Source organism: Homo sapiens, chromosome 2 (assembly GCF_000001405.40).
Source record: "Homo sapiens chromosome 2, GRCh38.p14 Primary Assembly".
NCBI classification, from domain to species: Eukaryota; Metazoa; Chordata; class Mammalia; order Primates; family Hominidae; genus Homo; species Homo sapiens.
This window is the reverse complement of record NC_000002.12, coordinates 104,405,440-104,419,994: the sequence shown is the minus strand read 5'-3', so window position 1 is coordinate 104,419,994 and position 14,555 is coordinate 104,405,440. Positions and strand designations below refer to the sequence as shown.

The following is a 14,555-nucleotide window of genomic DNA, read 5'->3' as shown; positions in this document are numbered from 1 at the left end:
AAGGAAAAGCATCTCAGTTGGGTACAATGGTTTGCTGACAGGTTTCCATACCAGCTTTAGGATCCAGGTAAAAAGAAAGGTGGATGGAATTGTACACTATAAAAGTCAATGCTTTATTGGTGAGCAGCCATAGTTATTTTGAAAGTTTAACTGAAATATCAATCATATTCCCTGGATAAAGAAGTAGGTCAGTTTTTTTTTTTTTTTTTTAGACAGAGTCATGCTCTGTCACCCAGGCTGGAGTACAGTGGCATGATCTCAGCTCACTGCAACCTCCGCCTCCCGGATTCAAGCAATTCTCCTGCCTCAGCCTCCTGAGTAGCTGGGATGACAGGCACGCACCACCATGCCCTGCTTATTTTTGTATTTTTAGTAGAGATGGGATTTCACCATGTTGGCCAGGCTGGTCTCGGACTCCTGACGTCGTGATCCGCCCGCCTCGGCCTCCCAAAGTGCTGGGATTACAGGCGTGAGCCAACGCCAGGTTGGAGGGTTTTTTAAGAGGTGGGGCTACAAGGCAGTAAAACGCTCTAGGTGACAGTGTTCAAAGGTGTATCAGGGCTAATGAAGGAAGCCAGATCCACCTGCTCATGCCCCTGAGATGGGGGGCCGATGGTGCCCATGAGCTGTGAGGAGAGGAGTGGACCAGGAGGTCATTTGGAAGAAGAAATTTCCACCTAAAGGAAGAGAGGTTAGGCCAGAAGGGAAAAAAAATAAAAAGCAAAAATAAAGTACAACAGAACTTCTTTTATTGTGTTGCTCTCATTTTATCCTGCTTCCAGGAACATAATCTCAGAGAGTACAACAAATGCTACATGTGATTCTTTCCAAGTTTTCTGTGGAAGTTGGATCAAAACCTTGGGTTTCTTGATGTTCTCAGCCAACAGAACACCTTGATGCTCACTGTGGCAACTTCCTAAATGGTTCCCTAGGGATCTGAAGAGCTAAGGCAGAGCCCAGCGCACAGGGAATTGAGGATCATGCTCCAACTACACCCTGGGGAAACTTCTGTGTATTGAGCTGGGAGAAGAGAAATTTTAGATTAAACTAGTTATTGGCTATATTTAATTGATTTGTGATTGGATTATGTAAGACATGAAAGGATCCTTACAGATACGACAGCACACTCTCCTGGTTTTAGAGGAGGAAATTGAGGCGTAAGAGGTCACAGGCTCCAGTTCACACACAGGTGAGTAGAAGTCAGGGCCCCCGCATGGGCTTGGCTTTCTTTTTCCTGACACTTACTTATACTCATTGAAGAAGGGTAGACATCCACAGCCTGTCTCAAAGTTGAACACTATCTGAAAGGCAGTCTGTGGGGCACCTGACAAAGCCTCCAACTACATTAAGAGTATGGCTCTTGGATTAGCATTGCCACCAGCCATACAGGGCTGCCCTGACTTCTTCCTCAAGAAGTCAGTCCTCTGGCTGCCCAGACCGTTTGCTTAATGCAGCATGGCCTGCCTGGCCTCTGGGGCCTCTTGGCAGTGGGCACTTGCCCCTTGAAGGGAACCCGCAACGGCGACTCCCTGGACATGTGGCACCAAGCAAACGTGAGAAATTCAAGAATACCAAGGAAACCGTATTTTATAATATTGAAATTAATGGATGAAAAAATAAGATTAAAAAAAACCCTCCACAATTCTGAAACAGAACTGTATTTCAATCCACCTAAAAACAATTTCATAGAGTTTTAGAAAAGTCTTCCAGATGATATCTTGCCAAGATCTCAATTATTTTCTTACAATATGTTTAAAGTCTTTTTTTTTTTTTTGGTTATGATTAAAACATAGTTCTCTATTATGTTACCATAACATTAATCTCATTTTCAGACTGGGGAAAATTTCAATGACTTCATTAAAATATTAATGTTTGCTGTTGAAAATATTTATTTTTCCCTCTTCATGTTCTTTAAGAATAATGAACTTCCTAATAATTAAGAGAAGAAATAAGTGAAAAAAAAACAGCAAAAAACACACAGTAACCATCAACTGCACATTTTAAAAGGTATTGAGGCCTCCTCCCATAGATTCTTGGACATACCATGAGAAGGAAGTATATGTTGCTGCTCTATGAGGTCTTGAACATTGAGGAGTGGACTTTCTAATATTGTTTTACCCAAACTAAGGTCACGTTTTATTTCACATTCCGGCCTCAAAGAAACAGTGGCCTCCAGAGACCCAAAAGTAATTGAAAAAAAATTAATAAATGCTTAGTGAAACAAATACTGCTTTTGTTTCATATTTATGGAAGTTTTCTATTCTGTTTCTTCCCATGGCACTGTTTCCCCCAACCCCTCCTCGGAGTTAGAAAGAAAAGCCTCAGCCCAGGCCCACCCACGCGTCATGGCGGGGAGCTGGCGGGGATGCGGGCGCACGCCTGGAGCCCTCACCAAGGATGATAAGCCTGCATGAATTTTACGAGTCTCAGTATCAAGGTTGCCCTCGCCCAAGGGATTTAAGAATAAGGGGGGGGAAAGAGAGAAGGCAGATGTATGAATAACTGGCATTGTAAATCTTCACCGTGGCAACCTACAGCTAGAAAAAGTCTGTGATGGGTTCATGACTTGAGAAGAAAGCGACACAGCAGAATGTGAATGGATTTTCTTCAGCTACTTAATACACTGCTTAGAGCAGCTTAGGGGGGTGCATGTGAGTGTGTGCGTGGAGGAGTGTGTGTGTGTGTGTGAGAGAGAGAGAGAGAGAGAGAGAGTGCGTGTGTAAGAGGAGGAGCTCCCTGGAAATTCGTTAGATGGAATTACTAGTGTTATACAGCTTGCCAGCTTTGGGGGCAAAAAGAATACCGTTTAGCCTCGGAATATAAATGACTGGATTTTGCTTGGGGGAAAAAAAGGCTGTGGGGGAGGGGCATAGGATTATGCAAGCCAGGAACAATGAGCAAATTGGACCCTCCGCTACACAGCACAAGGTCACCGCGAAAGTCATGGTGTTGGTTGGTGGAGGTGGTTGATAGAAGAAAATGGCTCATGATAAATCGCTTCCCATTTTGCAAAATCTGGCAGTTAATGAAAATAAGACGCATTTGAGTAGTCTATACGAACACCTAATTTTTCCGTGCTCTCTCCCTTTCCTCCTCTCCACACGGAGACACACACGCAGGCACACGCAGGGCCTGCTGATGTATGGAAGCAAAGCCTTCGCTCTAATTGTGCAATTATAAAACGGAAATGATGCAGGTTTGGCAACACAGGGAAAGAAGGCAGCTCAATAACATTGTTTAATAACAAGCAAATAAAGCTCCGAGGGGAAAGAGGTGACTATTTCTGCTTTAGACTCATTAAGGAGCCTGAAACATATTGTAAAAGAGTGATATTTAATTATGGGCTGGGCTGATAACAGAGAGCAGGGCCTCACTGGGAGAAAGAGACCCTGTGCTCCTAGGAGCTCACAGCTCCAAACATCAATTACCATGATTATCTACCCGGCGCTTACAAAATGCACCGTCTCCATGTTCCATCAGCGACCCGTAAACAGGCATTGCATAGGCAAATTTATGGGCACAGGCAGCCAGGGCCAGGTGGGAAAGCAAGCCGCCCATTGGTGCTTCCCCGCAAAGGAGGAAAGAGGCAAAGGAAAGAAAAATCCGTCTTCTGCACCACTGAAAGAACAATTTATTACAGAGCATTTGCAGAAGGCAGCGTTTGTTGCCCTGCTATTTTTTTTTTTTTTTTGCCTCTGTTCCCTGTCTGAATGAGGGATGGGAGGATATTAACCAACTCCTGGTTACAGGGGACCCCCTTGGCGTGGTCCCATCAAACTTTTTGGTGCTCTAGAGGCCCGAAGTCCAAATGTACCAGGAGTTAGAAATGAGATGCCTGTTTCTCCCTTTAGCCTTAGCCTAAGGGAATAGATAGGACAACCTGTTTGTCTGCTGGCTTAAAATTAGAATTTGGTAGAAATCAAACTACAGTAAGGAAGATAGTGTTCTCATTTGTACACATTAGGAAGTTTTTTTGTTAGGTTGTGTGTTTTAGGTTGTGTGTTTTTTGTTGTGTATTCTTTTCCAATGTTTTCAGGGTGGATGGTGGAGTTCCAGGATTAAAGAATGCTCGAAGGTTGCTGCACTATCAAATCTGTTTTTACAAAAATAGTGATGTATTAGACTGTATCTACCCATTACCAGTTCAGCAAAGAATTCAGGCTCTTCATGTACAAATCATTCCAACAACTGCCTGAAATATTGACGAAATCGCTCAGATATTTTTGATACTCATATTTATATTTCAAGACAGGAAGTGTCTTCCTCCTCCAAACTTTACAGCAAACTTTTTGGGGCAACTGTCACCTCTGTAGGCAAGTGTTCAAGTGTACATCATTTGAATTTTGTCTTGCTCTTTTGCAACTATTTTCTTGAATAAGATTGTCCATAAAGAATGCATGCTGAACAGTGGACACCGATGACTGGGCAGAGCCACCACAGGTAGGCAACAGGGAATGGCCGGCTGGTCCGCTTCACTCCCACCATCCGCCTCCAGAGCTAGAATTTCTTGTGGCTCACAAATTGATGAGTACTGAGGAACACTACCGACTGCAAACGTTCTTGTCAGTCCCCTCCTGAAGAACAAAGGAGATTTGGGTTACTTTTTAATTCTACCCTCTCAGCTCATCAACACTTGGTTTGCATTAAAATGTAAGAACATTACACTCAACACTCTGCTAATCATCAGAAAGTACTGCTTTGAAGTTTCCCTGTTTCTCAGCTACTACCCATGACAGATGTTTGCCAGAGAACAACTCAGGGGGCATTTTCTTGCAAGCATTTTGGCTGAGAACGATAACCATTGTGCCACTTAATATTTCAGCAATCTCTAGAGAAATCGGGGAATAGCAGTTACTTATTTATCTCACGTATTGCTCCTTGCTACCTCCCCACCACCACCGGCACGACCTCTGAAGGCACACATTAATTTCACCTCAGTATTTCCATAGCATCAATGAATAAAAACTGACTACATTTTCAACAAACGCACATGTCCTGATAAATGAGGGTCCTGACTTAATTGCTCTGTAAATTAAGAGCTCACCGTAGTGACAATAGAGAAGAGTTTTAATATTTAAAAACTCATTAAATTTGTGTACTTTGTGAATAATTAAAGTCGCAGGACCACTTTAAGGGGCTAATGTAAGTTTCATTCTTAAATGTATATCACGGATGAGGATAATTCATCTACCAAAAAAAAGCCAATTTTTTAAATTGCTAAATTTGGTTACTTTTTTTTGTCCTAATTGGTTACTTTTGGTCCTAATTTGTCTGTGGCTTTTTCCTCATCCTTTTTTTTTTTTTTCCAAATGACAATGACTGAATTAAAATGTTGTGGTCTGCGGGTTTAAAAGTCAGTTATCTGTTTATACAAAAAAAAACGATCTGTTTATACAAAAAAGAACCAGGCAAAACACACCTGGTTGGCTTCACCTTTTTTCTTATACATGAACTAAACTTTTTCATTTGCATTTGATTGTTTTCATTTGAAGTGTGCTCTAATTTGAACTATTCCCCCCCCCAAAAAAAAGTTCTGTTGTTTTTGTTTATGACTTACAGCTGTGTAAAGATCTAAATGTGTAAGTATGTGTGACGATGACAAGATTTGAAAAGATTTGTGCAAACCACAAATCCTGGTGATTACAAAAGGGAGGCTCTCTTGAAAGAGTTCACGTCAAAACCCCTGAATAACCACTAAACATAGAGAGCAGAGATTCTTTCTCCTTTATATCAAAACTTTGTCTTTAAAAGTGATGACTGCTCTAAGAATGATCTATGATTTTCCAGCCTGGTGTTCACAGTTGGGAAAGGGTCTAGTTCTGGGTCAACGAGGCTTCTGTGTCATCTTTGTATTTTTCACATCTCTTACTCCTCCTGTCCACATGTCAATGTTAGTATTGTCATCGATATTTAGTCAATAATTAAGCTGACACTCTTGGTCTGCTCAGTTTTCGGAGATCACTGGACATTTTGAAGTGTGAGCTCTCTGTGGAAGGCAAGCATACGGAACTCCGTCTGGTATTTCTTCCTGGAAACGTACGTACCATTTTTGAAAGAATCACTTTCTTGTGAACTCGATACTTCTGAAAATAAAAATGAAAAAAAAAAAAGCTGGGGCTGGGCCTTGGGGGTTCACTTTAATTAAATTGGAACATTGATCTGTCTTCAAGCAACCCTTAGCAGGGAAAAGAGGTGTCTACCGAAAAAGGAGACAATATTCATAAATCGTTGTTTTATTACAAGTTGGAAGAAGTGAAGTGGATTTCCTAGGATGTGGGTAGGGGCACACCTATTATTCTTAAAGGAGTATGATTCCAGTTCTTGTCTTTAAAAGAAATAGATGAATGCGGTAGCAATCCAAAGTCTGTGCTCCTGTGCCCTTCTAATAGAAGAAATCACAAAAATGTAGAGAAAAGTAGGTAAGAAATGCACATGCAGGATAAAAATGTAAAAGGTAAACTATTTTTTTATGCTATCAATTCATTATCACAACTGCTGAATGTTCCTCTGTCTTAGACTAGGGGCTATCTTTCCAGAGTTCTCAACTGTAAGAAAACTATTATATTAAAATGCTCTCACAATGAATCCCATGGGATTGGGGAAAGCTATGTTGCAAATGGGATTTTGCACTGTGTGAATTGCCAATCCCAAAAGATTGTGAGATCCTGTGGCTAGGCACAGGTTCTACAATATGTGCATTTGTGAAAAGGGAATGTCATCACTACATATTATTTTTACCTTTGGCAAGAATTTTATAAAATTTCAGAGCTTATCACACTCAAAAATACTTCTATAAGGGTGGCAAAATCTACATGAAATCGCTCTGGATGCCATACTATCATGCATTTATTAATTTGTTCTCATATTGTTTTTGCTTTATTTGACCTGGAAAATAAATGAAAACTGTAAGTTGCTAGTCCTATAAAATCATCCACCTGTTGAAAGCATAGCATAGCAAATACCACCATGGACATCAGGGAGGAAAAGGTAAGGAAAAGGAGTGAAACTTAGGAGAACGGATGCCAGAAAAAAAAAATGCAAGGAAGAAAATAATGGGAGATGGAAGTCTCCTTTCTCTTTTTAGCTTCTATTTTGGATATGAGCAGATGAGAAAGGAAAAGAAATTGATATGGAGAGAAACACATGGTGGAGAGTAACACAAGACCATAATACACAGAGCCACTTGCCCCAATAAAAATGTCATGTCACATGCTAAAGGACAGAGGAAGCACAGAATTGCCCATATTAAGTTTTTACTTTGTTACAAAGCATTCACTAAAAGAAAATTGGTTAAATCTGACCACATCACTGTTTGTCTTTTTCAGAAACCTACTCTCAGAAAACCCATTGAAGTCCCTGTTTTACAACTAACATAATGGGCGTGTGGAAATGCCTCTCCATCCACCAGGGGGCAGAAACGAACCCTTTGATTGGCCAGAGATCTTTGGACTTCAACTTTGATTTGGAATAGTTGTAATTTGCATAGCCTTTTCACTCTCAGACATCACTCTTTCTGTCACTAGGAACATAACCATATAGACTTTTCAAAGAAACCTCTTAATTCTGTGTGAAACTCTAAACTTCACTCTACCAATAAACTTCCCCACATTCACACTAGAGAGATGTGATGGGAATGCTGGGTCTTACATATGGTGGTCTTCATATTTTCGTGGATTTGTCTTTTGAGGCATGGAGTGCCTGACCTTTGCGTATGCAAGATTCGCTAGCATGTAAACTCTGTCACTGTCTCCCAAGAACACAGAAACAGGGCTATTAATAATTTTAATGCTTACTGTTTTGTGTAGCTTTTTTTGCAGAAACTGTCTATTAAAAAGTCAAATTTGGTGGTGCTTTTCTTGTGTTTTTGGTGGGGAGGCGGACCGCTTCCTGGAAGGAAGGGATGTGTGTAATGTATATAAAGTCACCTTGTGCTATTCTCATTCAGTTTAGCACCGTGCTGCTCAGTGATCATGGCCTTCATCAATGCAAGCATCAAAGTAAGGGTGGCCATTTCAGGAGAACTAAATGTTAGAAATAATTAAAATAACTACAACTGACATATACTCAAGGGAGCCATAAAATGTAGCCTTCTCTGATGTCCAATATGTAGCTGAACTGAAATACAATCCTTTAGCATCTGAACAAGTAAAAAAAAAAATCTGGCTCAGGAATTGTCATTGGAGTTGGTTTCTCACCACATTTCTGAATAGTTTACATCTGTTGACCAGCCCTAAGTCCTACTTAACATATGCAATCTGATGAGAGATCACAGTCTGAATTAATTGATGTAAAATAGATTGAGTTTAATTAGCACATCTTTACTATACTGTGTTGAAGATGTGGCATTTAAATAAAACTAGAACAATATCCAGTAGCACAAACATTATCGTATACAGAGATTTTAAAGGAAATCATAATAAGAAACATGAAGCCTATTGAACTCCATTAAAAAGCCAAACCACAGGGAGGTAGCCAGTCAGAAAGTACAGCCCTTGAATTTATTTTAAAAACCTACCAGTACAGCCATGCTTCTATTGCTGAATCACATCTGCCATCACTGATCTTGCCAGAAGATATAATGTAATAAAACAAACCCAGGTGATTTCAGAACCATCCATTTTTCTTTTTCTTTAAAAGTATGGGAAACAAACTCTTGGGCATGTTGGTAGTATTTTCTGGTGGTGATGAGCTCCTCTTGTCCCAAGCTCAGGCTCCCTGGTAATGGAACCCACTGTACATGCATTCGAATTTCCTCTGTGGTTCACTCTCTGTCCTTTGGAGGCTGTTGTGACAGGGCTGCTCCTTAGTGACTTCCTGGGATAGGCATGACATCAATTAGACACACACCCCACGTACTTTAACACTAACCATGACACTAAAGTGGTAAAATCCATAATAAGTAAATCCAACAACATATACATAAGCAAGATGGCAAATAGCTCAATCTTTCCTAAAATTATACATCCTTGTACTCAAGAAAACATTTGCTTCATTCAGGATTTTCCTGTGGTGATCCATCTCACTTCTATTTCTTCAGTGTTCTAACTTCATGAGTAATTTCTTTTTTTCCTTACTCTTAAAGCTATCCAACCTTGAGTTTGATTATTAGTACTTTTGTTTTTCTTTCCAAATAACAAAGAGAAAGTTCCAAGAGTTCTTGTTTGTAGGTGAAAATGATACTACTGGTTGGGCTTCGGTAGGTCATTTGCTTTGAGTTGTTTTCTAGATACAGGCTTATACTAATCTTTTTATTTTTCTCTTACCTAGCCCTGCCTATCCTCCCATCAACGATTCTTTTTTCCAACAATACTAAGTACTAGGTTGTCATTAGGTTTTAGAACAGACTGAAACAAACAGGCAGATTTTGATATGGGTATTCATGACCTGGGCTCCAACAGCCTAGTTCTCTATTCAAGGATCAAGCCAACCATCTGATGCCATACACATCTAATACTTTCTCAAAATATCACACTTTTATTTGGATCTCCATTAGATCCAAATAAATGATAAAATATCATATTTCAAAAAGCTATCTATATCATCAAAAATTCATCCTTGAAATTTTTAAAGGAAGTTTTTCTCTCTGGAAGAAAAAACGGAGCATGTCAAACCAATTATACATACAGCTGTCTAATTGCTTGCACATTTGAGGCCAGTAGGAACCAACTGTCACTGCAAGAGATAGACGTAAATCTGGCCCTTGGTGCCTGGAGGACTGACCTGTTCAGATCTGTGGTTCCATAGGCATTTATATCTAGTCTACAGGTACTGCTGGATTTTTGGTGTTGACATTTTAAGTAGTTTAATATTATTCGAATGAGACAAAATTGAAAAAGCCTCAGAAAAGGAAATGTTTTGCTGATCTGAAACACAAATCCTGCTTGAACTCCAGTGATGTAGTTCAAGGACATAACAGAACCAAAGGTAATGTTCTGATAAAATTTAGACATTTCCAAATCCATATTCAAATATGGGTATTTATGATGCATCTTGGACTCCTTGACATGTAGGAAAGTCCAGGCACCTCCATGACCTCTGAATCAGCTAGGGATAAATAGCTCAAAAATCTGTTTTAAGGGGGAAAAAAACTGATGATCAAGAGCTCTGAGCATATGAATAACAACTATAACTCATATAACAATACTAACGATATTACTAGGTGTTGTGTTCAGTTCTATGCAAATGATCATCAGGCAAGTGTGTTTCTCTACATCTAAAAGTCAGATCCCAGTGCAATATTGGGACTTTTTCTTGGGACATTTTGCTTTTCTGAAATTGTGGCATGCCTAGTAGCCTTGCTCAGCTGCACCCTCTCCCCGCATCACACACCTCTAACCCCCAGGACATAATGGGGGTTAGACATTGACATAATGTCTAAACAGAGAGGCTCAGAAGTGACGATAAAAGTTCCAACTTTCCATCATTTATCTTTTTTTAAAATACTTTAAGTTTTAGGGTACATGTGCACAACGTGCACCCATCATTTATCTTATCTCTGCTTCCTCACTCTTCATCTTTTGGGTTCTACTGTATCTTCCTTGGACTTAAAATTTCTGAAGGAAGCAGTTTGCAGATTATCATCTGTAATTAACTTAAATTCAATGACTTGAGTACTCCCCTTTAATTTTCTGTTGGTGGTATGATCAGGGAATTCATTAGTAATCAATGAATTTCATAAGCATGTGTGTGCATATTTGCTATCACACACAGCATTCTAAACAACATATCATGTAACTCGTGCAGTTTCCAAATCTTGATTATTTAAACAAAAGCAGATTTTACTCTGCAAATCTTTACTAAGATTTCCAACAACTGAAAAAAAAAAAAAAGACAAATGGCTACTTGGTTTCAATCTGGCCTTAATAATTTTCCCTCTGTTTATTTTCCATTAAAAAGAAGGTGGTTATAAAACCCAACCTAGGGTACAAAATACTTTTAAAAATCTAGAACTTTATTTGCTATAGTGTTTATTAGTTCATATAGTTTTCAATCCATTTCGACTATTCTGACACAAATTGCTATATAACTTAAATTCTGATGCTGGGGAAGGGAAGTGAACACTGTATCAGATTCCCAGGATCTCCTTTCTGCCAGGAGTTTCCTCCTAAGATTCACTGATAAAATGTTGATTGCTTAGAAAACAAAGTTGCAATACTCATCACTTTGTGAGCACCATGACAAATTACAGAGCATTGTTGTTTAAATTAAATGTTAAAGTAGGTTAGTTCAGACATTTATAATGGTGCATGTAATTAGCCCAAACCGATGAAATATCAACAAATTAACTGTTTTTGAAGAAAAAAAAAGTAGTATTCGAAATTGTCCAGTATGAGCACTGGGGCCTTTAAACAAATGATGTCACACAGTCTAGGAGGCTTTGTCATGTTCAGTAAATTAGCATGGCCTAACCACAGCAGAAAATTTCCTTGAGCTGCAATAAAGACTAAATGCTTTTAGACTCCCATGGTCCTTTGTAGTCATCATTTTAAAGCACTGCCTTAGTGAGCTAAACCTGTAAAGTTTTCTTTTGAGCGGCTGTGAGTTGATTAGATCTATTTCAGCCTAGTAGTGGTAATAGGCTCCTCTCTGCGAAACTGCTTACCCTCTGCTCCCCTGGCAGCTGGAGAGACTGGAATTAATCAGGTCTGCTGGGGACTTCCTCAGCGTCTCCGCAGGCCAGCGACTCTGGAATCATTTACCACAGAATCTGACTGTCAACTCTTTGTCATGTAGGCTTTTGATTATGCTTTCTTTCTCTCTCTCATTTTCCTTCCTTGTTTTTTCAGAAAAAAAAAGGGGTGGGGGAACAGATGAGGGATTATCCTAAAGCAGTATTTTACTAGTGACTTATACAGGTATCTCTTATTGCCTTTGGTCTGCCCTTTAGAAAATATGGCTATGTGTGAAGGTAGTGAGGACTTACTATTAAAATTAAAATTAACTTTATCTTTCTTATTAAGGTATATATCCAGACAAAAGATAGGCAGGCTTTCATAGGTACAATGTCTTTCCATCTGAAAAATACATATTTAGAGATTTCATTTTTGAAGGACCTTTATGATTTCCTTCAGCAGCATCCAACAAAGTGCTCTGCCTGTATCCCCAGCTCAAATTTGCCTGTGTTTCAAAATGTGCAGAATCACTACTTAAAACACAAAGCACATTAGCATTCATGGCAAAACACTTCCAAGTACCCACGGAAATTACAAAGAAGCAGATTCAAGTCCACATAAAAATCTACCGGTCTAATTTCAGTATTTGATTTTCTCAGTGCAAATATCTTGATAATTGAGTTGTATGATTTTATGCTTAAAATTCAAAGAATAAAATTCCCATAATGTCATAACAAAAATAAACCACCCGAATCAAAGTGCAATTTTACATTAAAAATTTTTATCTTGGGGCAACTTTTACTCCAATTTAGCAACCAAGAATATTTTCACTTCTTTCGGCACTCTAATTGTTTGACAGGGTTTTCCTTCCAAGGGAAACATATACCCAATAGATAGGGTAGAGACATTTAAATATCTTCTCTAGGGTATAACCATAATAATTATATGTAAATGTTGGGGCTTAATGTTTCTAAAATTGTGATACATAATATTCTAGGATAAATGTAATCCCCCTAAAAGTATTTTTGCAAACAATATTTTCTTTCACCTAATTGGTATGAAGGCTGTAATGAGTCAAACAGCGAAATACTGTATATTGTAAATGCCAAGATGTAATGAATACATCAGTATCACATAGCCTGTACCAATAAATGTGTTACTGAAACAGACAACAGACTAAATATGTTTACCTTATAACATGAATGTCCTGCTTTCTGTATGAATTTTCAGAGCTCTGCAACAAGTTTCAACTGAGGGGTTGTGAATTATGTAGGGCTTGTGTACTCTGTATAGAATGCAGCTTTCTCATTTGTTCTTTTCTGACACTGTTTATGTCTGGTTGAACCACAAATAGACATAAATATAGCACCAATTTGAGGGCTCACTTTAGGTGTGTTTGGTAGGTGGAGGGTGTGTGCCTAAACCTTCTTTTATAGGAAGACAGAATGAGAAATTGATGGCTGAGCTCTGGAATAAACGGTGTTAAAGGCAGACAGCTGATTTACATTGCACTGGCATTTTTGGCTTATATATTTTGTTTAAGAATTATATTGCTGCTATTGTTTTTTTAAAGAAAAGATTCAAGGCTTACTTAAAATCATTCAGACCTAAATGAACTGGCAGCGCTTTTACTTTGTGTCCGGCACTGTCCCCGCGCTCCTCTCCTCTGTCCCTCTCTCTGGTCATGGGCTCCATCTCCGACTGCCATCTCAACGCGGTCTTCTATTTGGGTGGGCAGGATGCCCAGGTATCTCTCAGGGGTCTTCACCTACATTGCTCATTAACCACCCTTCAGAAGGAAAAACCGTCCTGCCACAATGCTCTCTGCTGCCTCGTAGTCCCGGCAAGGCCTGGGGAACGGTGATTTCTCTGCTGCTCTGAGGTGTCCCAGACGTTAGGGCTATAAAGGGATGTTGCTAGGCTAATTTGGCACTGCCCCTTCCAACAATGCAGCATGCACTTGGCAAAATTCAATGAGAGAGAGAGAGAGTGCATGCAAGAGAGCGAGTGAGAGAGCGCTGCTCACTAATTGAGCTATTTAACAGACTGCAGAGCCACCTGGAAGGCAGCCAATCATTACTCAGTGTCTTAATAGTATAGAGACTCTTGAATCATTCCAAGTAAGAAGTTCCACATATTTGTTTGTTTGTTTGTTTTATTTTTGTTTGTCTTTTGGGGTGGTGTGGGAAGAGGAAGAGGGTGGGAATAAGAGCACAGAAAGGGGGAAGGGTAAAAAGGGAGTACACTGTAGAGCACATGTAAATCCAGATATTGAAGTATGAAAAGCCAGTGTGCATTCTAAGACTGGCAAGGAAATAATTTACAATGCCACAGGAAAAAAAAAAAGGGGGGGCGGGGAGGGTTGGGATTTTTTACACGACTCCATCTTTATATAAAGGTTTTTTTCCCTTCTCTTGGAATGGGTCATCTTCTACCACACTGGTGAATTCTTTTGGCCATTTGTCAAGGGCCATTTTCTGAGCGGAGACTGACTTGTCTCCTGCTCTCCTCGCGGGGAGGGCTGCAGGCTGGAGCTGCGCACACACCCGCCATCACGGTTCCCTTTGGGGACGGCCCTTGGACAAGGAGGATTTGTTGATTGGCAAGGTGGCTGGAGTGAGAAGACTCTGCCAAGCCATACCCCTCTTTTCTTTCTAAACTTGGCTCTACATTTCCCTTTTCCTGGAAGCTTCTGGGACTGCTCCCTCTCAATTTTCTCCTTTCAATTCTTTGTATGCACATTTTATATCCATGTATTCACATGGCGTGCATTACTACTCATTGATTCTTTTTTGAGTCATCGGTGTTGGCTTCATCTTCCTGACCAGAAAGTAAGCCGACTCCATGTGGGGACCATGTCTTCTAATTATTTAATTATTTTTTCCTACAGTACTTTCTCTAATAGTGTGCTGTGCGCATTGATTAAGGTTTATTTACCAAACT

The 14,555-nt window shown here is 39.7% G+C and overlaps 3 long non-coding RNA genes across 4 annotated transcripts in view, besides 2 other annotated features; 2 read left to right on the top strand and 1 right to left on the bottom strand.

Annotated features, from left to right (window-relative positions):
• Nucleotides 2,008-3,960: an enhancer, noted in NCBI's record as "VISTA enhancer hs1131". NCBI's record gives its function as "enhancer in: midbrain (mesencephalon)[3/8] | forebrain[5/8]" and the evidence as "EXISTENCE:transgenic organism evidence [ECO:0001131][PMID:17130149]".
• Nucleotides 4,267-5,105: an enhancer, noted in NCBI's record as "OCT4-NANOG hESC enhancer chr2:105031348-105032186 (GRCh37/hg19 assembly coordinates)". NCBI's record gives its function as "activates a minimal SCP1, AML or CMV promoter by ChIP-STARR-seq in naive H9 embryonic stem cells {active_cell/tissue: H9 hESC(naive)}" and the evidence as "EXISTENCE:reporter gene assay evidence [ECO:0000049][PMID:30033119]".
• Nucleotides 5,964-7,843, top strand: LINC01831 (long intergenic non-protein coding RNA 1831). Its single transcript, NR_135589.1, has 2 exons — nucleotides 5,964-6,036; nucleotides 7,326-7,843. It is a non-coding gene; the product is annotated as a long intergenic non-protein coding RNA 1831 (long non-coding RNA).
• Nucleotides 7,844-8,282: 439 nt separating this feature from the next.
• Nucleotides 8,283-13,524, bottom strand: LOC124908058 (uncharacterized). Of its 2 annotated transcripts, none has more exons than XR_007088675.1 (2): nucleotides 13,204-13,493; nucleotides 8,283-8,814 (listed from the first exon to the last, which is right to left on the bottom strand). It is a non-coding gene; the product is annotated as an uncharacterized LOC124908058 (long non-coding RNA). The 2 variants fall into 2 exon arrangements; XR_007088676.1 differs by having other exon boundaries at nucleotides 8,472-8,814; nucleotides 13,220-13,524.
• Nucleotides 11,663-14,555, top strand: part of LOC100287010 (uncharacterized) — a 29,483-nt gene continuing 26,590 nt past the window's right edge. Inside the window, exon 1 of the long non-coding RNA NR_037885.3 lies at nucleotides 11,663-11,729. This is a non-coding gene — a long non-coding RNA (uncharacterized LOC100287010). The remainder of the gene's footprint in view (nucleotides 11,730-14,555) is intronic.